The sequence below is a fragment of the Homo sapiens genome, chromosome 12 (genome assembly GCF_000001405.40).
Source record: "Homo sapiens chromosome 12, GRCh38.p14 Primary Assembly".
NCBI classification, from domain to species: Eukaryota; Metazoa; Chordata; class Mammalia; order Primates; family Hominidae; genus Homo; species Homo sapiens.
The window spans coordinates 2,471,193-2,495,663 of record NC_000012.12 but is presented as its reverse complement, the minus strand read 5'-3'; the positions used below and the strand labels follow the sequence as shown (position 1 = coordinate 2,495,663).

Genomic DNA, 24,471 nt, shown 5'->3' with positions numbered 1-24,471 from the left:
TCCCCAGGGGAGAAGGCACAACACAGCTGCTGAAAATTGGTGGTTGCAGTTGTTGCTGCTTCTGCTCCCCGCCCCGGCTGTCATTATGACAGTATTTCTTTGGATCACATCTGGCTGGTGGGGCATCAATGACTTGTGGTGGTGGGAGAAGAAGGGAGTGGTGAAGGAAGAACACAAAAATACATCAGCAAAGGCAGTCATATCTATTCCTACCCTCCACCCACCCTCCACTGCCACCTGCCCTCAGTTTGATGCCATGGAATGCATGGGCCTGAAGCTTATGGGATGAGGCCCCAAAGCACAGTCCCACACAATCATTTATCCTATGTGGCCTGTAGGCAGAAACTGCCTGTTGGCAGAAGGATGTTTCTGTCCTTGGCTGGTCAGAGGGACCCACCCCAGGAAGAAGGACCAGCTAGGTCCACTTGGGAATTTTGTCTGCTTTGCTAAACAAAATAAGTTTCCCTAAGTGTAATAAGTTCAATTCCTTCTGTCTTACAAATTATTCAAAACCAAGGTCTTATTGAGCATGAATCTCAGAAATGTTTTCCAGTGTTTCATTTTAGTTTGAGGCAGAGGGGTTCTGACCTTTGTCTTCTTTTTGAAAGTATCACAACACAGCAGCTTTGCCGCGGCATGGGTCCAGCCATACTGCCATTACTCAGTTTAGAGTTTAGTTGGCTTCCTAGACTGAGATAATTGGACTGGACTGGATCTTATTTATGACTGAATCCTCAGAGCCTAGGAGCACCCCTGGCAGGCAAGGACACTCAGGAAATGTTTGCTGGGTACAAGGTCCTCGGGCAAGTTTCAAGTTGTCACTTACAGAGGGAGGGACACATGTCATAGCAACACTGGGGTTTGGCATATTGACTATCATGTAAAAACTGAGAAAGAGGGATTCTGAATCAACAGGACATGGTGCTTTTAAAGAAATCATATGACAGAATACTGTGCACCAAATCTCCGTACAGTTACAAAACTCTTCCTTCCGATTCAGGAAGAAGTCAACGCCTCTCTTGGCATGATTTCCTTTTGATCTGGCAGCTCTGCTCAACGGGAAGCATTTGCTCCCCTCTCACTCTTCCCTGCTTTGGTTTGTAGACATGTTCCCTGAGCAGGCTCTTAGATTGTTTTCACGATGGCCAAATAAATTTGCCTATTTGCAAAACTCTGAAGGAGATGGTATTTTTAAGACTGGCAGCATGCTTTATTCGCCCAAATTCTGGAGAACAACACTGGATTCTGGCAAGTCATTTCTCAGGCTGAAGTTGGAGACACTATGAAGAATAAATTTTCTGGAGTTTTTCCTAATAATGGACTTTGCCAGAATCGAGACAGCTCAAATATGGAGTGTGGATTTGCCTGTGGGGTAGGCTGTACAAAAATCTGGCACTTCAGAGGCTCAAAGCGCAGCAAAGTAGTGTTGGCTACTGGGTAATAAAAGGGGCAACTTTAAGGTAAACGAAGATTTGCTATTGATTGGGTGGCTCTCGAGAAGTGGTATTTCTCTACCTAATGTATGTGGGGCTTAATAGATGACGGGTGGATGGGTGCAACAAACCACCATGTCTCATGTATACCTATGCAGCAAACCTGCACGTTCTACACATGTATCCCAGAACCTAAAGTAAAATAAAAATTAAAAAAAAAAAGTGTATTTCTAAATAGGCATCACATGACCAGCAGCATGTTTGGGGAATAGTAAAAATGCTGCCAATGCATTTGTCTGATGGACTATTCTAATATGTTAAGGTAAGAGTAAAATAAAAAGTAAAAATTGAATAGCATGTCACAATGCTACACAATTCAATAAAAATGGTTTCTTTATATAACTTCTTTTTAGAAGATCAGGACTTCTTCTCTTCTGCCCTAAGAATACATAATTCTGCCTTCTAGCTCCCTTTTGAGGAAAGAGGCAAGAAAAGGATGAGGGCAGAAGGAACTCTGCATGGGAGGAGGAGTTGAACGGAACCCTTGTGCCAGCCTGGCCAGCTCATCCATGCCTGCACACCAGGGTTTTGCACTGTGGGACGCACTGGAAAAATGACCTTCCCCTAAGGCTGGCGGGTGGGGGAGGGGACTCGTTAGGGTGAAAAGCTCATGCCTTGTTTCTCAGGCAAGACCTGGAAGAAATCAAAGACGCTCTTCATCAACCATTCCATCAAGATGCGTATGTGACCCCAAGACCATGGGGAGGAGGAGAAAGGGAGGTGTCAGGGAAGGGTTCACGGCCGCTGTTCCCCCACCCTCTGACTGCCCACTCATGCTACGTACCCAGTACAGCACGTCCGTCCAGCCCTCCATGGTGATGCACTGGAACACCGTGAGCATGGCGAAGGCAAAGTTGTCAAAGTTGGTGATGCCGTGCTTGGGACCATCCCAGCCGGGCTTGCACACCGTGCCGTTCTGGCACTGCCGCCCGTGGCCCGTTTCCAGCGCACAAGGGGAAGGGTCATCTTCTGCTGGAACATCTCAAATGGCCAGAAGAAGACAGGAGACGGGAGCAGCAGGGAGGGAGAGATGTGGGCAGAGAAAGAAGTCAGAGAGAAAAGTGACAGGATGAGGTTGATGGGATGGGCAAAGCAACCATGGCAACAACAGCGCAAGACATGTTTAAATCAGGTCCCCAGATGTGAATTAAGCAACACAAGAAAGTAGGCTTTCCATTTAGGCTGCTGTTAATTTAGAAGGTCAGTCCTTTCCACTCACTGTTGTAAAAGCTGTATTTTAATCTTAGTAATTGATTTCTATTGCCCATTCTGCTGCAACATGTCAGCCTCAAAATCAAATGGCCAATCAAAAAATAATGATGATGCCACCACTGCAAGTGGAAACTGACCCAGAAAGCGATTAGAAGTCCATATTTTCTTTTTCTGGTGGTAGAGTTCTATAGACACTTGTATTGGAATACCAGAATTTAGGGTAAGGACAATACCAATGCAAAGACTCCTTCACATAGTTAGCCAACCGATCCCATCCAATAAAGCTTTCTAACTATATGGGTCCACTATGTATTAGAGGATACATTGCCAGGGACGCAAGTCACTTTACAGTGAAGCCTTACATAGGCGAAAGACGGAAAACGGACTCTGACTGCCGGGGAGAGGGATCACCTGCAGCCGTTTTCCTTACAGCCTGTGAGTACACGCTACTGACTGTATTTCATGCATGTCATGTGGGACTTCACAGCTCTGCCCTTTGCTCTGCAGCATGAATACTTTTCAGAAGAGAAGAATCATTTTCTGACCTCTATCAAGATAGAGCGGCAGTGAATAATAGGGAGTGTGCTTCCTCAGTACGGACGGGGCTTTGTCAGGAAACAGTAGAACACAGTGTCTGTGGCTAAATGCAGCAGTTGGACTAATTTCACGTGCTGGGAATAGCTCCCAGCAAATTAATGAATGAAGATGTGACTTATATTTTGAGTGTGGAGATTGATGGTAAATTTAAACAAGACCTGACTGATCTAAGAATTTCCATTATGGGAAAACACTGAGAAAGTCTTGGCTCTGGCTATGGAAGGTAACGGTGTGGAATTCACAAAAGTTTGTGAAATCAAGGACATTGTCCTGTCCTTAGACAAAGTAATGACAATAACAGACAGAAGAGACCCCAGTTCCAACAAATAAATGATTGCCTATAACAATGAAAATACACTTCCAAAGAGAGAGAGAGAGAGAGAGAGAGAGAGAGAGAGAATTTGCTTATAGTTCTTCATTTAGAGACAACAGATAACCCAGGATTATTTTCTGGTTTCATATATATCAAAACAATCGTAAGTGTGATTACTTTGCCTACGTTAGGCTGTGCATTGAACAGGACTGGCCGGTGGGCTGATTCTCAGTCGGTGGCTTTAAATCTGAAACTGTTCACTCCCAAGAGGAAGACCAGAAGAGAAATATTAATCCTTAAGTAAGAGATAATTCTTAGGAGAATAGAGTCTACTTGAAAATATATGCCCGATTGTGTCTTCCCAGCAGCAGTGGCAGCTCCTCCTCCTCCTCCTCTTCCTCCTCCTCCTCCTCCTTCTTCTCCTCTCCTCTCTTTCTCTCCCACTGACCCCATCAGCTTTATTGACTTATAATTTACATGCCTCCTCCTCTTCATTGTCATCATCACCTTCGTGGTCATCTTTGTGGCCTCCTCCTCCTCCTTGTTCTCTGTCAATTTCATTTCCTCTTCCTCCTCTGTCATTTCCTCCTCCTCCTCCTTTTCCTCCTCCTCCTTCTTCTCCTCTCCTCTCTTTCTCTCCCACTGACCCCATCAGCTTTATTGACTTATAATTTACATGCCTCAGAATTTATCAATGTAAATGTACATCTTAATTATTTTTAGTAAGTTTATATAGTCATGCAGCCATAACCACAATCCATTTTAAAGCACGGCCATCACTCCCTGAAACCCCCCTCGCCTGCTTGCAGTCAATCCTTCCTCCCATCCCCAGTCCCTGGCAACCTGATCTGCTTTGTGTCTCCATTGCTTTGCCTCCTCTAGAAATTTCATATAAATGGAATCACACACTATGAGGCTTTTTATGTCCATCTTCTTTCACTTAGCATAATGTTTTGAGTTTCATCCGTGCTGCTGCATATATCAGTAGGCTCTGTTCCTCTTTATTGCTGAGCAGTGTATTTCATTGTATGTTTATCCATTCACCAGCTGATGGACGTCTGGATTATTTCCAGGTTTGGGCTATTATGAATAATGCTGCTTCCTGGCTTATTCTTGGGCCAGTGCTTAAAGTTGTGTGTGAGTCCTGTGTTCGTTGATCAAGGTGCAAAGGTCTGCACTGCTGGTCCCTGAACTGCTAGAGAGACAGTATCCACACCATTTCCTTATTTCAGGGTCCAGCTCCCAGGAGGGCTCCATTAACGCAGCTGAAACAAGCAGTCCTCTAACTACAACTTTTTATGACTTTTAAAAATGTGAAATCTTTAGAGATTTGGATGTGATGCTACAAAAAAGGGGGAGGCTAAAATGTAAATCCTAAGCCTAAATAATACATGAAAAAGTGGATAATAAGCACCGAAAAATTTGGGAGCTGAGAGACTGGAAAACCAAGAGCCAATTAGATCATTAATTATGTTGGGTTGTCACCCATTCTAGTCATAGCTTTCTAGGGAGATGTGTTCAGTCACTGTGATAAAAGTACTGGAATGACAGCAGAGACGGGACAAAGAGAAAGGGTGAAAAAGTGAAGGGGAAGCTTGCATCTTTTTCTTGCATCTTTTTCTCATGTTTTGCTTTTTCGCAGAATAAAGATGAAGTTAATCTTTACATTGGGACCACTCATCTGACAGCATTCCCTGCACTCTCAGTTCCTGAAACATCACAAACAGGGAAGAGGAGAAGGCTGCCAAAGGGAATTCTGAGTGTCCTCGAGAAAGGAAAACATCTCTGGGGATTTTACGAATATCTGCGAAAAAGAAAATGGCATCAAGGGGAAGTGATCTCACTAATAAGAGAGAAAGGGATGAGATTCAGAAACATTATCTAAAGGTTTAGTGCCACTCTGCTATTTAAAATCCGATTTGAACAATAATGAAAAAGATTTGAGAACAATTAAGAAGCAGTGATGATCTGGTAAAAATAGGTATCTATAAAAAGCGCTAAAGCGAACACTTGAAAAAATGTGAACACACACAAATCAGCAGGTCCTAGCAACACACACTCTAGGGTGAGGAGAAATTTGCTTAAATGTAAAAATGTGTTAGTTTTCTTTTGCAGAGTCATGAAGTCCTGGGGAGGAAAGTGGGAACATGAAGTGGGAGACAGAAACAAAGCAATGCAGGTTCTACATTTTAAGACAGAAATGAAGAGAGGTAGAGTCATTCTGGAAAGTCCAAATTAAGTTTTCGGTAAAATAATGGAGGTGACGATTAGGAGAGAGTTAGAAACGCAGTTAATACCAACACAAACATGCAATCCTGGGAGAGCTCCAGTTAGTGATTCCAAGGAGAAATCACTGAAGACAAAAATCAATTACTTTTTTAAAACTCAACTTTAAGGAGTAAATAGAATGAAGATGATTTCATTTCTAGGTTTTAGCCAACCAGCTCTGTGCCAGTCTCAGGGGTAATTACTGTGATTGGGAAGCTATTCAGAGTGACCTGGCTCAGTGCACCATCAAACAGATGGGACAACCGGAAACAAAAGGTATCGGCATATGGTGATGTGTCTGTTGAGGAGCTGAGAAGGCGCCTTGCAGATGCCTCCGGGATTAGGGAAACGCCGCCTCTTCTGAGACCGCCTTCACCGGGGCTGCTCCCTGGAAGGGCAGTCTAGAGGTAGAACATGGCTCACCTGGACAATTCCATAACTTTCTTTATGGATTTTATTGGAAACATGGCTCAAAATCAAACGTATTTTGAAATCTAGAGATACATAAAATTCACAGTCTGTGAAATAATATTGGACTATAAAAAGAATTTGATGTAAATCTCATCAAAAATTACAACAAAGGCTCACAAAGCACTTTTGTGTAATCTAAATTTGCGGAAAATAGGGTAATTCAATCCAAAGTCTGAAATTTTAAAAAAAGAAAGAAAGAAAGAAAGAAAAAAATTAAACCACCCATTCCAAAGTTTATATAAAACTCTCCAAAACACTCAGGGGTTGGTTTCAAAGCCTGCAAGTATTTGGTCTTCTACTCCACGGCTGCACAGACATGTCTGGGTTCTCGCGTATTTTCCCTCCTTGTCTGCACTGCCCACTCTGTGGGTGGACAAGGGCTTGATAGCAGCGGCATCGTGTTGTGCTAAGAGTGACAGAGTGGGTCCTGGCTTGTGATCAGACGGCAGGTTTGGGAACGAAGGGACAGCAAGCTCCTGATTGCAGAGTATTTGAGAGGACAGGCTTCTGCAGCTGTGTCCTGGGCCCCTCTTCCCAGCAGGGACTCTGACTCCAGCGAATGAGTGAGGCCACCTTCTCATGGAGCCTGGCAGGGCCCTTCTCTCTGGAGCACTTCTGCTGTTGTCCTGGCCCCCTTGGCTCATGGCCATTTCTGTGATGGGAGCCTACTTCTCTTCTGAACTTGCAGGCAAAGATAAACCCATCACATAAACAATCTGATGAGTCTCTTGGTAGGAGGCAACTTCTCAGGCACTTTTCCTGGTCCTGTTTACTATCAAGGGTGGACAATGTGATCCTAAATTGGCCATTCCAATTGGGGAGGCCAAGTCTTATCTTTGTCCTAAGAGAAGAGGAGGCCATGACAGGTTCGGTACTTGGGGCGTTGGGGCGACCTCTTCACTGGGCCCTACGGCTATGGCCTTCAGGACGGCTCCCTCCCCGTGCCATGCTTTCTTTGTCTACCATGCTCACCATTTTCTGACTATCCAGGGCCTCTGAGGCCTGGTAACAAAGCCTTGGGCTTCCAACCAGTATTCAGGGCCGCTTATCCTCACCCGCCCTTGCAGGAGCCCACCACCGGCAGAAAACACTCTTGGACTGCTTTCTCGTTAGGATGATGGAAATTGCCTGCAGCTTTGGAGCCCCTCTCCTTACTCTGTGGTGCACAGACCTCTGATTGCACAGCAGGGCCGCCATCTTTGGCTCGATGGCTGAATTCTACCATTTCGCTCTCCCCCATTTTGTTAGTGAGGGCCTCACCATCATTCACTGCTGAACTGATGGGGAATCTTTGAGACTCCACATGTCTGAGACTTCCTGAGGAGTTTGGGTCAAATGGGTCATTGATAATTTCAATACAACTGCATGAACTTCAGACATACCACAGTCAGTTTTTAAGGAGTCTTAAAATGAGCTCTCACAGGGCCACACAATTCATATAAATTTATTGGTTCTGAGCTAGCTATAAATCAACCTGAATAAAAGGAAGGATTTTAATTAAAGGGGAAAATATTATTCATATATGGTTTCGCATTTCTTTAAGCAAGGCTAAAAAGTCTCAGAATTTTAGCTACAGGCAAGACCTGCTTCTTCCAACTTAACAAGGATTCCATTTTTGAAAACAGGATAGTTTATTTTATACAATTATGACCCAAGTAATTTGGAAATTCTCTCTAGAGTGAAAAAACAGTCTCCTGTTAAACAGACTTCCATCCAAAAAGTGAAAACATTTGTGTGATTCTGTGTCTATAGGAGTATACGTTTTGTGTGTGTGGTTTTTTGTTTTGTTTTGTTTTTAGGACTGTGGCTATGTAGAAATAAACTAGAAATGCCCTCAAATATGCAGTTAATCCATCCGGTCATACTAGATCATACATAGAAAGTATTCTGTTTTGGTTTCTGCTACGAATTTCACTCCCTGTTGTTTGGAAGCTATCCCTCCTCACCCCAATGAAGCGAGAGGTCCCATTTAACTGAGTGCTGGGACTGAGTGGGAATGAGGTGCAGTGTCGATGGAGAAAATTAGGTATCCTTCACTGTTTCCGGCAGATGATGCTCCCCTTTTTCCACCAAGATGCTAAAAACTAAGATGATGGATCTTGCTGTGTGAAAAAAATCATATATATTTAACACAGCTAGCCCCTTTGGGGTGGGTGTTATTTTTTCAACAAGTTCTTTGTGTTAAGCCACTGTATATGTCTGTTTAAAAGCCTTGTCAATTTCTGTTTAAATGTTTCTTTAAAAGGCCAAGCTGCGATGTTAGTAGCTTTAGCAGCAGCTTGCAGCATATCCTGCAAGCCAAAACTCCAGTGCCACGCAGGGAAGCGCCTAATGAGCCAGCATTGCTGTTAAATATATTGATTTATGGAAGGAACGTGAAGTGGGAAGGCTCAAAAAGGAAGGGACTGGGAGTCATGGGGTAGAACTAAGCCTTCTCCTTGAAGGGAGGAAGTTTGGCTGCCGGCAAGGGGGTGATTCCCACCTGCCCTCCTCCCCCACCTGGAATAGGGGCTCTGGGGCATCTGCCTGTGAATGGAGAAGCAGAAACAATAATTACAGAGGATCTGGAATCAGCACCATGAAGGTAGAAAAATCTTAGAGTGGTGCTGGGAGAACCTGTTGCTCAGGGCTAAGCGGCCCCGTGAAAGGGCTCCCAATGGCCAACCACACTGAAGCATGGAAGGAGCAGAGACTGACGACCCCAGGTCAGCTCTGATTCTTAAAATACTCAGGGTTGGCTTGAAAAGTCGTAGATTGACAAAAGATAGGTTCTAAGTTATTCAAATGTTTCTCAAATTGTGTAGCTTATTGAAAAGTGCTGAACGAAGTTTGCGTTAGGCCGGTTTAACAGAGATTAAAACAAAAATTGGAACTGAGAAAAAAAGGATACGGGTCTCTGCCTCTCACTTAACCATGCCCAGTGTGTGTCTGAATGAATGGGGCCTTCCCTGGGCTCTGCTGGTCATGTTGGTGTAGCCAGCAGCGGGAAAGGTGCTGGGAGCGATAGAGGGCAGGGCCTTGGGAGCGCAGCCGCCTGCCCCTCTTACCTGCTATGCCCTCCTGGTTGTAGCAGGTCTTGTGCATCTTCCCCATGAAGAGCTCCAAGCCGATGATGGCGTAGATGATGATGACAAACAGCACAAGCAGGGCGATGTGCAGCAGGGGGACCATGGCCTTGATGATGGAATTCAGGACCACCTGGAGACCTGCGGGGACAGAGCCACTCACTGAACCAAGCATCACCGCGGTACCGTGCTGACGCCATCTCATGCAATCTTCCAGCAACTCTGCAAGGAAGGAACTGCCAGCCCTGTTGTTTAGATGAGAAGACTGAGGCTCAGAGCCACACGCCAAGGACTGATGGTGCAGGGGTCTAAATCCAGGTTGGCCTCACTCCAAATCTGTCTTGGAGACTCATCCAAAGCAAAGGACTGGCAGCTGCTGTACTTCCAAGGGGAAGAACATGTTGTTTCCATCCATAACTGTCAAATTGTGTAATACCCCATCTTACAGACAACTGAGCATCTTTTTCTCCTAGAGCAGCATCTCAGGACAGTGAGAGCTCATGTGGACTCAAGACGGCCCTGCAGGGACTCATTTATCCTCGAGGTTTTTCCCATGGTGGGATTGGAAAAAGTCCCAGAGCTGGATGGTGATGACAGTTGTACAACAGTGTGAAGATACTTAGTGCCACTGAATGTACACTTGAAAATCATTGAAATGATCAATTTTGTTATGTTCTTATTACCACAAGAAAAGAAACTCTAAAAAGCACCCAGATCCCTCTGGTAAAAAAGAGTAAAGGAAAAGCCCGCCTGGGGACATGGGTGTTGTCGGTGAGGTCTGGGGCTTGCACCGCGGTCTATGGGGAGAAGGCCCCCCTTACTAAGCTCGGTTATACCAGAAATAACACACTGGGGATGGCATTCATTTAAAGGGACACTGCAAATCATTTGCAAATGACAGGAAGGTGGTTATCAGCAAGTCACCCCCAGATGACACCCAGCCCCGAGAAAGTCACGTGTGAGATTCCTGCCCAGGTGAGTGCAGTGAGTCTCACATGCCAGGTGAGAATGTGGAGGCAGCTCCTCCTTCCCTCCAGCAGAGCCAGTGGTGCAGAAAGTCACCCTGAGTGCCACCTCTGACACACAGGACAGGAAACCCCCCTCCAAGTCGCACTACACAGGTCACTTTTTGTGTCTTTACCTTCTGTGTGGGGCATCTCACCCTCACATTCATCCACCGCGCTTGCCCCTGGGTAAACTAAGGCTGGTCACCCCTTTCCCAAACCCCAAGGCCGTTGTTGGTGCTTTTCATTCTGGTGATGTGATTCTCGCAAGGCTGATTAGAATGATTCTTCCCAGCTATTAAGCCAAGCTGGGAAGATAAAAAAAAAAAAAGAAAGAAGAGAAAAGCTGGAATGATTTTACCTGTGAATTAATAAGAGTGCTTGCAGCCTCCCATTAGAACAAGATGTTTTCAGATTGAAATGATTCCATTAATTAGCAAGTTGTATACACATTAGTGTTGGAGTATGCAGAGCCGCGAAGAAAGTTGAAAACTGAACTGCAAAGCGGCTTTCAGGGCATCTGCTGGGGGTGGGGGGTGGGGGACGTCTTCCAAGTGCTACTCGAGGTGGTGGGAACCCCAAATCTGGGCTACCCAGGCATGAAGGGGTGTCTCGACGGGCCTCAGTGCCACCGCCTCCAATGGCAAGAGAACGGTGGGTGTGGGACATAAAGGGACACCCATCGGGAGGCTCCCCTCCAGGCCACAGCTGGAGGGCTGCTCAGCAGGCTGCCTCAGGCCTGCTGGAACTTTGAATGCCTTCCTCTGCTCTTAGGATGAAGACAAGATCCTTCCTGTGCCCTACAGGGCCCTGTCGGGTCTGGCTACACCCACCTCTCCACCCACTGCCTCTCCCCAACCCACTCCAGTAAAACAGCTCTTCTTTTAGAGAGTTGAATATGCTACTGTTCCTCCCACCACAGGGCCACCACATATGCTGTTCCCTCAACCTGGAATGCTTTTCCCCACTTCCCTCCCACTTATCCTTCACTCTCAGCCCAAGCATCTGTTTCCCCAGGGATCATCACGCAACTCCCAGACCAGAAACGTTTCCTTTATGTCTTCTTGGAACTATTTTCTATCCTCTGGAGAGTGCACCTCAGTTTGAAATGTTATGTTCCTTAACGGGATTTTAAAACATTTATATCTGTCTCTCACATTAGGCTGAGTTTTGTGAGAGGGACTGTGCCTGTTCTTTTCCATTTTGTTGCTAAGGCCTGGCTTGGTGCTGAGCATATGTGGGCACTCAGTAAATATTTACTGAAGGAGTGACAAAACTTATCATCTAAATAAATGCTACTGCTGTCCTGGAGCGCTGGTGAGTATTGCTGCACAGACACCTGCTTTCCAGATAGGTGTCTAAGGGACAGGTGAGTTTCAGGGCCTGCAGGGGACAGAGGCCACTGAACAGGCTGGAGAGAGGCCAAGTGGAGTGAAAGCAGCTTGTGGGCGTCATTTCAGCTGTCAGAGATGCCATAAGAATTCCTGCCAAATGCCCTGTTCCTCACATCCCCGTCCAGGCTGGGGGTCACGCCACTCACCTGAGCACCCAGACCAGAAAACTGATCTCCTAGGCTCCTTCTTCCACTCAGTAACCAAGTCCTGCTGGTTTGGTTTAAAAGTATCTTTAGACATGAATACATTTTTCTTACTGTATAAATAATACATGCTAATTATAGAGAAAACAGAAAATACTTATTATAGAGAAATTGCAGAACACAGGGAAGAAGAAAAAAGCAATGACTCATTGTCCTGCCCCCAGGAGAAGAGCCACTGTTAGCTTTTCCATCCATGACTCGTTTTCCTCCTCTCTGTCCCCTTGGTGCTCGTCATTTTGTCAACTGGTCTCCCGGGTTCCAGTGTTGCCCAGTCTTCAAGCTACACTTAAAATGCTCTTCCTAAAGTACACACTGGAACATGTCACTTTGTAGCTGAAAGTCACCCAGTGACTCCCTGTCACCTGCAGGTAAACTAACCTGCCTCCTTCCCCAGTTTGGTCTCAAATGACTCCCAGTTTTTACCCTAGGCTTGAGCAATACACCCCGCAGTTCTCTGGCTTCGTGCCTCCAATCCCAGCGCACGCGGCTCCCCTGCCTGGAAAGCCATTCCCTGCCTCGCTGAGAGCTCCTTGAGTCTCATCACATCTTCTTATCTTTGTGTCTCAGGCACGTGGGGAGGGACTCCATGCACATGGAGCCAAGTCACGTGCGTGAGCACGGGGTGCCTTCAGAAGACAGAAACCACAAGAATGAAAGAATTGGAAATAACATCATTCAATAATCATTAGAAGAAATTGAAGGTGTTTTGTCAGGAATGGTGAAAAGGCACAGGCAGGAGGGTAACGTCAGTGATTTTCAGAGGATCTCAACTGCTATTTGAGGAAGAGGGGTTAGATGAGTTCTGTCTGACCACAGGATGGAACTACGACCAACTGCGAAGTGTCCGGGAAAGACTTAGGTTCAGCACAGATAAACACTTATCTGTCCGAGAAACAGGCTTATCTGAAGGTGGAATAGGGTGCTTTAAGAGGTAGTGATTCCCCATCCTCAGAGGTATCCAAGCAGTGACTTGAGGAAGTGCCTGACTGGGGATTCTGTCACTGGGTGAAGGACTGCCCTGGAACACCAAAGGCCCTCCAACTTGATGAGCGCGTTCTGAAGACTTGCCATGGGCGACAGCAGCCCTCAGCACTCTATTGGATCATTCCATCTCCTCCCGGCAACAACCTAGGAAGTAGGCACTATTTGTAACCATATGTTTCTGATGAGAAGAGTGGGTCCAGAGCAGTGGAGTGATCTACCCAGGGTCGCACAGCTGGGAAGTGGTGGCACAGGGCTCAGTGCCAGGTGGTCTGGCTCCTAGCCCATGGCTTCACGACTGTGCAAATGCCCCCCACACGCTTAGACAGCAGCTCTCAGCCTCCACGACCTGAGTCTATAAAGCAGTGACACGTGCTTGCAGCATCTGCTGGGAAGGCGGGGGAGTCTAGTGGAGTCCCTGCTTCCAGGAGAGCCCAGATGTTTCCAAGGCTGGTCCAGGAAAGGCTCTCGCTTCCATCTGCTTTCCTCGCGGCCTGCCTGGGGTGGCAGAGCCAGGCTGGCTTGTGAAGGCGTGCGGCCAGACATCCTCCTCTCTACCCTGCCATGTAGAGTTTGGCTCTCAGGGCCTGGATGTTTAACAGCTTCTTGGGATTGGCTCACAGCTGCCCCAGAAACAGCTCCTCCAACTCAAGTTCTAATTTGGAAAATACACGACATTTCTCCACCCAAGTGTTCTCAGATAGGCCATGCTCACCGCTGATAAGCGAGTGTCGGGCCTTCTTCAGGGCTGGCTGCTCATGTTGGTGAAAGAAAATGGGCCCTAGACAAGCCTGGTGAAGCAACTGCTGACAAACGTTCTGTGAACACAAGATCACTATTGGCCCACGCATGTGATGAGCCTGTTTTTCTAGCCCTACATCAGGGTAAGATCTGACAAACACATGTGTACTTATGGGACCAATAGGACTGAGTATGTGACAGGAGAGCTCTACTGGAAAATTTGGAACATACGGTTCCATGCAAAGATCAAACAGCACATAACCTAGAAATTCAGTCTCGCTAGTTTGGAGTTCATGTCAAGTGACTGCCTCTTGGCGGGTGGAAAGACTCTCAAGGTACCAGGAAGACCTTCCAGGGAGATGGGGCCTTGGGCAGTGGCATCATTCAGTGCTGGGCTCGGGAAAAGGGGAGGATGGAGTTTAGCCGGCAGACATGGATTTCCTTTCTTCCTCTTACAGTGCTGCCCGCATTCCCTCTGGGGTGCAACTTGACAATTCCGGTTAGGAAAGGCTTAGAGGACCTGCATCTATAAATCACACTGTTTCTCCTTAAAAAGTCAAGAGAAGCCGTCCATTGCAGAAAGCAATGTCTGGCACCTTTCTCTACGGTGGTTTTGAGGTTAGCCTGGAGATGCCCAGATTGGCCAAAGTTGGTGCTTCCATTACCTGGTCCATATTGTCCACCATGACTGACGAGGGCTGACAACAGATCACATCCTCTTTTGCTTTATAAAACAGCATCTCACCAAGCCCTACTTTTGGGATGAAGTGTTCTGCTCAGGGCCCCAGAGATACTATCACAAAAGAGTATGAAAATGCCTTTATGAGCAGAGGAAAATGAGAACTTCCTGGGGCTGGAAGGTAATGTGCCTGATTCAAGGCTCCTCTTAAGGACTCTATTCTTTTCATGTAATCTTCAACCCATACTTCCCTCTTTTGAATTCATATTTTGAGTCATTTCACATGAGATGGGAGGGCACAGGGAGAAACTGTTGAAGACCCTAGAATTGGAGATCATTGCCAACGTTAGATTCCATTGTTTGGATTCCACATTGACGCTCTGCTTTTCTGTTGGTGTTTAGGCATGAACATTTCACATTCCCAATTATTCAAACTCAAAGATTCCAGCCAAGCCTTAGGAAAGTATGAAAACGATCAAGGAGGCTTGATGACAGAATTCATCAGAAGACAGTGCTGAGAATCACTGAACTAGGAAAAGAGAAGTTTGGGTTTAGGGGGTTGGTGGGTACAAGTTTCTCATAGGTGGACTCAGAGTTTGCCATGACAGGAAGAGGACTTTGGGATCACCTAACCCAATACCTTCATTTCACTCAAAGACTATTTACTGAGCTAAGCTCTACAGGCCATGAGCCATGCTTGCGTGCTAGAGATGGGAATACGGTGGTGACTACAAGCCCTGCAGGCCTTGCCCTCACAGAGCTTGTAGGCAGCCAAACATTAGTCAAATAATCATGCAACTGATGTATAATAAACTCTGTGAAGAGCCTTAAAGAAGCAGAATAGGGTACCACGAGGGTCCTCCTTTGGCATGGAGGCTGCAGAAAGGCTTTCCAGGAAGTGGTGCTTAAGCTGAAGGCTGAATGGGGAGAGGACCTGGTCAGGTATGTGCAGGTAGAGGGTCCCGGCGCCAGGGCTGTGGGGTCCAGACTGCGACGTAGCCTGGATAGCTATAGGACACCCAGGGCTCTCCGTCTGTCAGCCCCATGCTCCTCCTGGCTTTGTTCTGTCTCTCAAAGAAATCCCTGGAAAGAGGTTTGAGGAACCAGTTTGTTGCTTGTGTGTGAAATCAGAGGAAGCAGATATCACTTTTACTTTCAGGAAAACAAATTCAGGAAGCACACGAGGAAGGCCCTCCTGATAACGTCCTCGCTGGTAAAGTGGAGGAAATAATCCCCATCTGGTGCCACAGAGGGGCAGGGGAAGGACAGCATTAGGCCAGGGGTCCTCTACTCTGCTGGCTTTACTGGGGCAATCTTAACCACAACTTCTCAGCGACCCAATCCAACAGAAGAGAGGGCTGCGGCACCATGTGAGATTCTGCCAATACGGAAAGCCTGGATGAAAAGAAATGGCGAGTCAACCTCAAGCCTGGGAAAACCCCTTCTACATGTGATATCCCCAATCCCGATGTAGTCAGGGCTTCCCAGGAGTGGGGCTGACTCTGGATTCTGCTGTGCTTCAAGCCAGCATTAAGGCGACAGCCCACTTTCAAGACTGGGGCAGGAGTCAGGACATGGAGTTTTAGAAAGCTGCTCCTTAACTTGAACTGGCTGTCCTTGCAGAATGGAAGAGAAAGCCATACTGCTTAATCCAGATGTCTGATTAGCTGAATGATGGCTGACTGAGAGGCTGGCCCTACCAAAGCAAGTTATGCCTTCTGTATTTCCAAATAAACTTTAGCCAAATCCAAACAAAAAGAGTCACTAGATGGTGGGCAAATTCTAAGCTTCGCTACAAGTCCTTCCTCTTAGAATTGGATGTCATCTGAAAGAAATAGATTTCTCTTAAGACAGGTGTTCAAGGCCAGGCACAGTGGCTTTAGGCTTGTAATCCCAGCACTTCAGGAGGCAGAAGTGGGCAGATCACTTGAGCCCAGGAGTTCAAGTTTACAGTGAACTATGATCATACTACTGCACTCCAGCCTGGGTGACAGAACAAGACCCTGTCTCTAAAAAACAAAAAGAAAATTTAAAACAATTTTTAAAAACTTAAAAAAAACAGGTGTTCAAGTGAAGGGCACTGTCCTTACTGTGCCCACCGAGCCCCATAACTGCCCTTGAACCTCACTATCCTTGGATTTGCGATGCAGATTCTAAGAAAATGTAGATCAAACACCAGCTTCTCCCACAGGGGAATCTAGAATGAAGTTTTCCATCCTCAGCTACATCCTCTATCTGAGAAAATACTATCGGAGAGTCTCTCCCTTCTGTAATGAGAGAGACAGGCGTACCCAGGCTGTAGAAAGTTTTCCCCAGATGATCAAGGTTCCCTTTCTTGAGGCTACCACAGACAGCTATGCCATCATTCACTTGTGCATCTTCCAAGCACCTACGGAGAACCTATGAAGCACCCTGCTGATTGCCATGGGAGGTGGGAGAAGGAGGAGAGTGCAGTGGTTGAAGAAGAGGGACCCTTGGAGCCAAATGACTCCAATGAATCCCAATCCCACCACATCTCATCCATGTGTCCTTGTACCAACTATTGACCTCATCTTAAAGAGAGGATGATCGTTTACCTATCCCATAAAGTTGCTGTGAGGATTAAACAAGTTAATTTAAGCAAAGTGCCCAGAACAACATCAGGCCCATAGTAAAGGCCATATCAGTGACAGCCATTGTTATTTGAAGTGTGGTCTTAGAAGCGTGACACAGGTCTCAGTGGGACCCTTTAGGGTAAATGAGCACATAGGTCCCCTAGGATCTTGTCAAAATGTGGATTGTAATTCTCCATCATGGGTGGGGAATGAGTTTGCATTTCTAACCGGGTCTCAAGTGACACTGCAGCTGCTGCCCCACCAACCAGCAGCCAGGCCCTAGGGCACGCTGGCCATCCTGGGAGGCTGCAGCAACCTCATCCAGTCTTTTTGGTGTTATCAGATGCTCTCAAGCAGTGACTGGAGTTTTGCCTGCATGGGGGTTATCCTCAGTGATAATATTCCTAAGAATTATGCCCAAAGGACGGTGGAAGCATAGAGGAGAGGGAGAGACTATCTTCACCTAGGAAAATATGAAAACAGTTCCCAGAAGACTAGACCTGTGAGCTGTGTCCATGGGTGGAGCTTCTCTCTGCCCTTTTATTCTGTTAGTCTTCTGCCCTTTGTGTGGCTCTCTCTAAACTCTCTCTCAGAAAATTCATGCACTTCACTCCTTCCTAAGAGTCCAATAGTCACCACTAAGTACATGCATCCACACCTGTACTTACATTTATTTTCTTTGTCCTCTCTTCTGAGTTCAAGACATGCTTCATAAGCCTACTAGATATTTCTACGAGGTTGTCCCACCATCTCCTCACACTCAAATTAAGATAATTTGAGATGACTGGTGCTTTTTATGATGGGGTAAAGAGAACCACAAGGGTGGCCTGGAAGTGGCAACAACAGTGATCTATTAGCACCACTAGGCTGAAGAAGCAAGTGGAAAGAGTGGTTACAGAAAGTGGGAAGGACAGCATTCTGTATAAAGGACCACTCGGAGAGGCTGTGACAATGCCAGCCCAGACCTGCAGGGAAGGATCTGGGGACAGAAGAACCTGACCTCACCCTACTCCCACCTGCTGATCTCTTGCTCGGCTCCCCATCGACTGAACCCAACTACAGACTGGAGATGAGGCAGCCTGTTGATGGAGGCCATCTGGTCGACTCCCCAGCCAGAGAGCAGAGTGGGGAAGGGTGGAGAGCAGATGTGGTAGCGCAACTGTAGGATGACTCGCAGATAAGACAGAGTGGCTTTCTATGTGCCACCATCACCTTTCCATTAAGCCAGGAGGAGGTATTCCACCTGGAGGGCTTCTAAGTTTTGTGAGCCAACAAGTTCCCTCCCAGGGATAGTGATCAGATAAATATCCTCTTACTATAACTCACTAGCCAACTCTGGGTCCTCATCTTCCAAAGTCATACCTGACTGCTTCTAAAAATGAGTGCTCCTTTCAGCATTTGTGGTGGTGACAATCACCACTGTCATCATCAGGTTGTGACTACTAGCCCACGCTTACTTCTGATCTCCATGAATCATGTTGCACTGGCTAGAAGCTGGAGACGTGATGAATCTCACAGATCATGTTTTCTGCCTTCATTTGGCTGATGAAGTAACAGACACTTTTAATGGTCTCACAGGCTTAATGGCTTTCAAAAGAAAATAGGTCTAGAACTAGGAAGGCAGATAGTTCTCTCTTGGGGAAAGGAGTAAGTTTATCAAGCTGAGCTTCAAAAGTGACTAATGCATTTTCTTACTGGGAAAAGAAGCTTCCTATAAACGGGGAAAGAACTATTGCCTGGATAGCTTTCCTACAGCCTCAAGTTTTATGATTTTTGCATGTTCTCATTAGAGTGTCCTTATTCATTAGAGATTTTCATTTATTTTTAATTTAGCCTTTCCAGATTAATAAATTCTGCATCCCACACATGGTATGAGGAACACTAAAGGAGGGTTCTTGTCTTAGCAAAGGGATGGTGGGTAACTGGTTCCCCAATAAATTAAAACTTTAGGAGTAATTAAAATATCAGCCTTCAAGTTGAATTAATTTTTTATATTACCAATGTGGATTGAAAAGAGAAATTCAGAGAAAAAGATATAAAAGAAACCCTGTGTTAGAAGAAAACTGCATATGGTGAAAGGCAGACAAGATGATCTAAAGCAAACAACAACAATAATAGTATTAACTACCATTTCCCGAGGACTCGGCACCTGCTGGGTACCACATAAGTGCTTTACATACATTGTTTCATTTAATTCCCCAGCCGTCTTAATACAGATAAAAGAAATGAGGCTTAGGTAAGACAGATAAATTGTCCCAGATTACACACTTGGTAAATGGCAGAGTTGGAGTTAGAAGCCAAGCCAACTTGAAGCTACCACTTCCATTCCTTAGCCATTATCCAGGCAAAATGACAACTACACTGCACACATGTGCCACTTGTTGGCCCGCGTCATGGCAGATGCTGCTCCTTCCCTCTGGTCCAGATGGGGCCTCACAATCCTTCTCAACAGTGCATCTCTCATGACAGCTCTAATCCATTGGAAGTGATTGCATCACGATGGCCGTCCCTCTGTGCTGCCTCCCTATTGGTGGCAAACTGTAGTTTTGTGCTCCAGGCAGAGTAAGGAGCAGATCTCCTTCGGCATCTGCCAATGATATAGCTACCTGGACCTGTACTTTTGCTTCTTCTTACATCTTTTTTTGGAAAAAACTGTGAAATATACATACAAAAGATGCAAGAAAGGGGGATGTTACAATGTATGATTTATCACAAAACAAACAGCCATGCAACTATTACTCAGACCAAGAAATAAAACCCCACCAGCTATACAGCAGCCCCACTCACCCCTCCTACACCAAGATAACCACTATATTATACTTCCATAACAAGTTAATATGTAATTCACATTAACTTAAAAATAACGATTCTGTCAGATGTAGGAAAAAAACATTTCATAAATGTGAGCATCCACTTATTCCCTGATATTCTGTACTCTTCTCTGCATTCCCAATTCTTTTCAGTTTCTGTGTTTGATTATCAGTATTTTTCCCTGCCCTCTCTCTAGTTCAATAACTGTTTTCAGCTGTGCCAAGTCTTCTTTTAAATCCATTCACTGCCTTTTTCATTTCAGTGATTGTATTCTTCATTTCTAAAATTTACATTTGGTTCTTTTCCATATCTGGTTCTTTGGAAAATTACCAGTCCTGTCTTTGATATCTCTGAATGTGGTAAATACAGTTATTTTCAAGTCTATATCTGACAATTCCAATATCTCAATTCCCTGTGGGTCTATTTCTATGGTCTATAGTTTCTCCCCGTTTTCACTCAGGTTACTTTGTCTCCTTGTGTATATAGTTATTTGGTATCATGAATGAAACCTTCTTTTCTTTTCTTTTCTTTTTTTTTTTGAGATGGAGTCTCACTCTGTTGCCCAGGCTGGAGTGCAGTGGCGTGATCTCGGCTCACTGCAAGCTCCACCTACCGGGTTCACGCCATTCTCCTGCCTCAGCCTCCCGAGTAGCTGGGACTACAGGCGCCCACTACTGCGCCCGGCTAATTTTTTGTATTTTTAGTAGAGACGGGGTTTCACTGTGTTAGCCAGGATGGTCTCGATCTCCTGACCTCGTGATCCGCCTGCCTCGGCCCACCAAAGTGCTGGGATTACAAGCGTGAGCCACCGCGCCCAGCCAAAACCTTATTTTCACACAATTGGTTTTCAAAGTAATTTGAAAATGTTGATGATGTTATCTTTCTCCACAGAGGATTCACATTTGTTTCTATCAGGCATCTTTTCCAAGCTCCAGAAAGAAGATTTAGAATATTTTGTCCAGCATTTCTAATTGTCCTCGGCAGGACAGTTGATCTGAATCATCTCAACTGCCAATTCTGAAAGAAAAAGTGGCCTGCATTTCTTTTTTTCTTTTTCTTTCTTTCTTTTTTTTTTTTTTTTGAGATGGAGTTTCGCTGTTGTTGCCCAGGCTGGAGCGCAATGGCGTGATCTCAGCTCACTGCAACCTGCGCCTCCCAGGTTCAAGTGATTCTCTTGCCTCAGCCTCCCGAGCAACTGGGATTACCGGCGTGTGCCACCATGTCTGGCTAAGTTTTTGTATTTTTAGTAGAGACGGGGTTTCGCCATGTTGGCCAGGCTGGTCTCAAACTCCTGGCCTCAAGTGATCTGCCTGCCTCGGCCTCCCAAAGTGCTGGGATTATAGGCGTGAGCTACTGCGCCTGGCCTGGCCTGTACTTCTTATGGGAGAAACTACCTACGGGATCCACCTGTAGCTTTTCCTGCCACACTCACTCCCAGAACCAGACAACTGGGTTTTGAATACAAGGATATATTCTAGAGCACTGGAAAATCTTTGCGACATTCTCTTTGTGCCAAACCCTTGACAGAGCCTCTTGGAGTGAAGTTTCTGAGGACTGGCTGTTTGCTGAGCAACATACTTGATAATAAGGCCAAACAGGAGGAAAAGGTGGCTTGGTTGCACTCACTGCAAATCCTCACTCCTTCCTTTAGAAATGTAAAAAAGGTATACTTTTGGGGAAAACTTCAAAATATCTCTATGGTTTTGGTGGTAAATGAGATGTACTCATTATAGAGTTATCTAGTTGAATGAGTTACTAAACTAGTCTTAATTATACCTCTCTAATGATTTTTTTTCTGGCAAATACCATTATACCCAGGCAACAGCTTTCTCTTCCCTGGATGTTCTTGAGATGGAGTGTAACAAAGAACCAAATTTGTTCATTGCTGCCAACTTACGGTAACTCTACGCCATAAGCTAATCTTTCTATGTAACTCGAACAAAATGCTCTTAGGGTCACATACTTACTTATTTTCTAATTCTGGCTCAAATCACTATTGCATCAATAGGGACTTTGGCACTAACCAAATTTTCTATAGTGGTAAAAATTTCTAAACATCATGCTTAGATTTTCTTTTAAAATATATTTTTGGAGGGATTTAGTGGGGGAAAATGCCAGGCTATTTCCTCTTCTGCTATCAATAACTGTGTGACCTTGACAAGTCATGTCACCTTTTGGGTCCAGGTTTCAACATCTTTAAAAGGTGGACATTGGATGAGAAAATGCAATCTGGCTCTAAAATTTTCTAAGTTGTTATTTTCCAAATAAAGCAAGATTCTAGTACCTTTCCTTCTTCCAATTACTACTGTGCCTTATACACAATAAGTCCTCAGTAAATGTGTGACATATAAAGTAAAATATAACATATAACATTATATTATCTAATATACTATAATTAAGAACAGTTTCCCGAGGACAGCACAAAGAGCTACAGTTCAAGCACAACACTGCAGCCCCATGGAATTGAGAAGGCAGAAATCAGGTTGGAATGTGGGAAGCTGAAGTGGCTGTGGTGGGACATCCAGAAGAGACAGCGAGGTAGATACAGGGCCCTAGAAGTTTGTGTAGGGGTTGCCTGTGTGTCTGTGGCTTAGGGCTGGGTTGTACAGGTACAAGGTGAAACCAATGAGGCATATCAGATAGCAGCTGGTTTAGGGTTGACAGCAGAAAAGAGATGGTACAGGTTAATCAGTGCTGGGGAAAAAGCAGTGTCAGGAGGTTGGACTTACGGCCCTGAAATTGTGGAGAGACCTAGTTAACATCTCATTACCACCCTGGACAGATGACTCTGACACTGCAAGGGCACCTCCTGGGAGTAAGGCCCTTTGTCTACAGTGAGACCCACTCTAGATCCATCCTGGCAAAGCCAAAATCATTGCCCTGACAACATCAGGAGGGGAAAATTAAATGTGGAGGTTGAGGGGTTTGGGCTTTCAATGTCTCAGCACCAACAAGCATAAAACCAAGCCTACACACGTTCATGGTAAACTGTCTGCTGATGAACCAATACTCTTAGGAATATGAAAAGATCCAGAGTCACAACAACATATTATCCATGATTCTAATATTCGGTAAAAAGAAATCACTAGACATATAAAGAAATATAAAATGTGATAGTCAAGGAAAAAAGCAGTCAATAGGAAACAAAAAATGAGATTGTTCAGATGTTGGACTTGGCAGACAACGATTTGAAAACAGCTATATATATGTGGGTGTGTAGAGAGATATATATATATAGAGAGAGTGCTACATATGTATCCATATATAGATACATATATTTAAAGGATGGAAGAAAAACTGATTAAAGGAAATAAATGAGTATATGATCTTAAAGGGAGAAATATAGAGAATTCCACAAATAAATGGGAACTATAAAAAGGAACAGAATGGAAATTCCATAATTGAAAAGTAACTGAAATGAAAAATTATGAATAGGCTTAATGAAGATGGAGACATTAGAGGAAACATGAGTCAACTGAAAGAATAATCAACAGAAATGAACTGATCTGTGGAACACAGAGAATAAAAGACTGAAGAAAACTGAACAAAGCCCCGGGGACCAATGAGATACTATAACATGGCCAAACACCATGTATAACAGGAGTCCCAGCAAGAGAAGAGTGAGAATGGAGTACAAAAAAATATTTGAAGAAATGATGGCCCCAAAAGTCCCGAACTTGAAAACTTCTCATTTATGAGTGTATCTGAGAAGCTCAGAAAACTCCAAGCAGAACAAATATAATGAATATAATAATGATGCACATCATAGTCAAACTGCTGAAAACTGAGAGAGAAAATTTTAAAAGCAGTCAGCAAAGGAAGAAACATTATGTGCAGGGAAATAATAACAATAATATCAGGCCAGGCATGGTGGCTCACGCCTGTAATCCCAGCACTCTGGGAGGCCTAGGCAGGTGGATCACGAGGTCAGGAGTTCAAGGCCAGCCTGGCCAAGATGGTGAAACCCCGTCTCTATTAAAAATACAAAAATTAGCCAGGTGTGGTAGCAGGTGCCTGTAATCCCAGCTACTCGGGAGCTGAGGCAGAGAATTGCTTGAACCCAGGAGGCGGAGGTTACAGTGAGCCAAGATTGTGCCACTGCACTCCAGTCTGGGCGACAGAGCGAGACTCCGTCTCAGAAAGAAAAAAAAAAATCAATGACTTCTCATCAGAGACAGTGGAAACCAGGAGAAAATGGAACATCTTTAAAGTTCTGAAAGAAAAAAAAACCTGTCAATCAAGAACTCTATACCAGCAAAAATATTCGTCAAAAGAGGATGGCAAAAGACATGTTCAGATAAACAAAAGCTTAGCTAATTCTCCAGCAGCAGACCTACATTATAGAAATGCCATTGGGTTGCTTCAAGATAAGGGGAAATGATACCAGAAGGGAACTTGGATCTATAGAATGTGTAGTAGAAGCATCAGAAACAGTAAATAAGTAGGTAAATATAAAATACTATGTTTTATTTTTTCCCATAATTTACTTAAAAGACAATTGACTAAAGTAAAAATAAAAACATTGTTGAGTGGAACTTATAAAGTATGTGTAAATAGAAGACATATAGTAATCACACAGGACAAGGGGTTGGGTAAGTGAAATTCTATGATTTTAAGGTTATTACACTTAAGTGTACACTTAAAA

General features: G+C 44.9%; 1 protein-coding gene across 56 annotated transcripts in view, besides 2 other annotated features; it reads right to left on the bottom strand.

Moving 5' to 3' along the window:
- The window catches only part of CACNA1C (calcium voltage-gated channel subunit alpha1 C), a 727,171-nt gene that overhangs the window by 202,287 nt on the left and 500,413 nt on the right, over positions 1–24,471 (bottom strand). For 54 of the 56 annotated variants that reach the window (XM_017019926.3, XM_017019934.3, XM_017019946.3 and 51 more), the window contains 2 exons: positions 9,402–9,560; positions 2,278–2,474 (listed from right to left, as the gene is read on the bottom strand). In XM_017019926.3, coding sequence (XP_016875415.1) covers positions 2,278–2,474; positions 9,402–9,560 — 356 coding nt within the window. The remainder of the gene's footprint in view (positions 1–2,277; positions 2,475–9,401; positions 9,561–24,471) is intronic. The other 2 variants (NM_001129844.2, XM_047429520.1) reach the window with 2 other exon arrangements.
- Positions 1,907–2,407: an enhancer, noted in NCBI's record as "H3K27ac-H3K4me1 hESC enhancer chr12:2602423-2602923 (GRCh37/hg19 assembly coordinates)". NCBI's record gives its function as "activates a minimal SCP1, AML or CMV promoter by ChIP-STARR-seq in naive H9 embryonic stem cells {active_cell/tissue: H9 hESC(naive)}" and the evidence as "EXISTENCE:reporter gene assay evidence [ECO:0000049][PMID:30033119]".
- Positions 2,408–2,909: an enhancer, noted in NCBI's record as "H3K27ac-H3K4me1 hESC enhancer chr12:2601921-2602422 (GRCh37/hg19 assembly coordinates)". NCBI's record gives its function as "activates a minimal SCP1, AML or CMV promoter by ChIP-STARR-seq in naive H9 embryonic stem cells {active_cell/tissue: H9 hESC(naive)}" and the evidence as "EXISTENCE:reporter gene assay evidence [ECO:0000049][PMID:30033119]".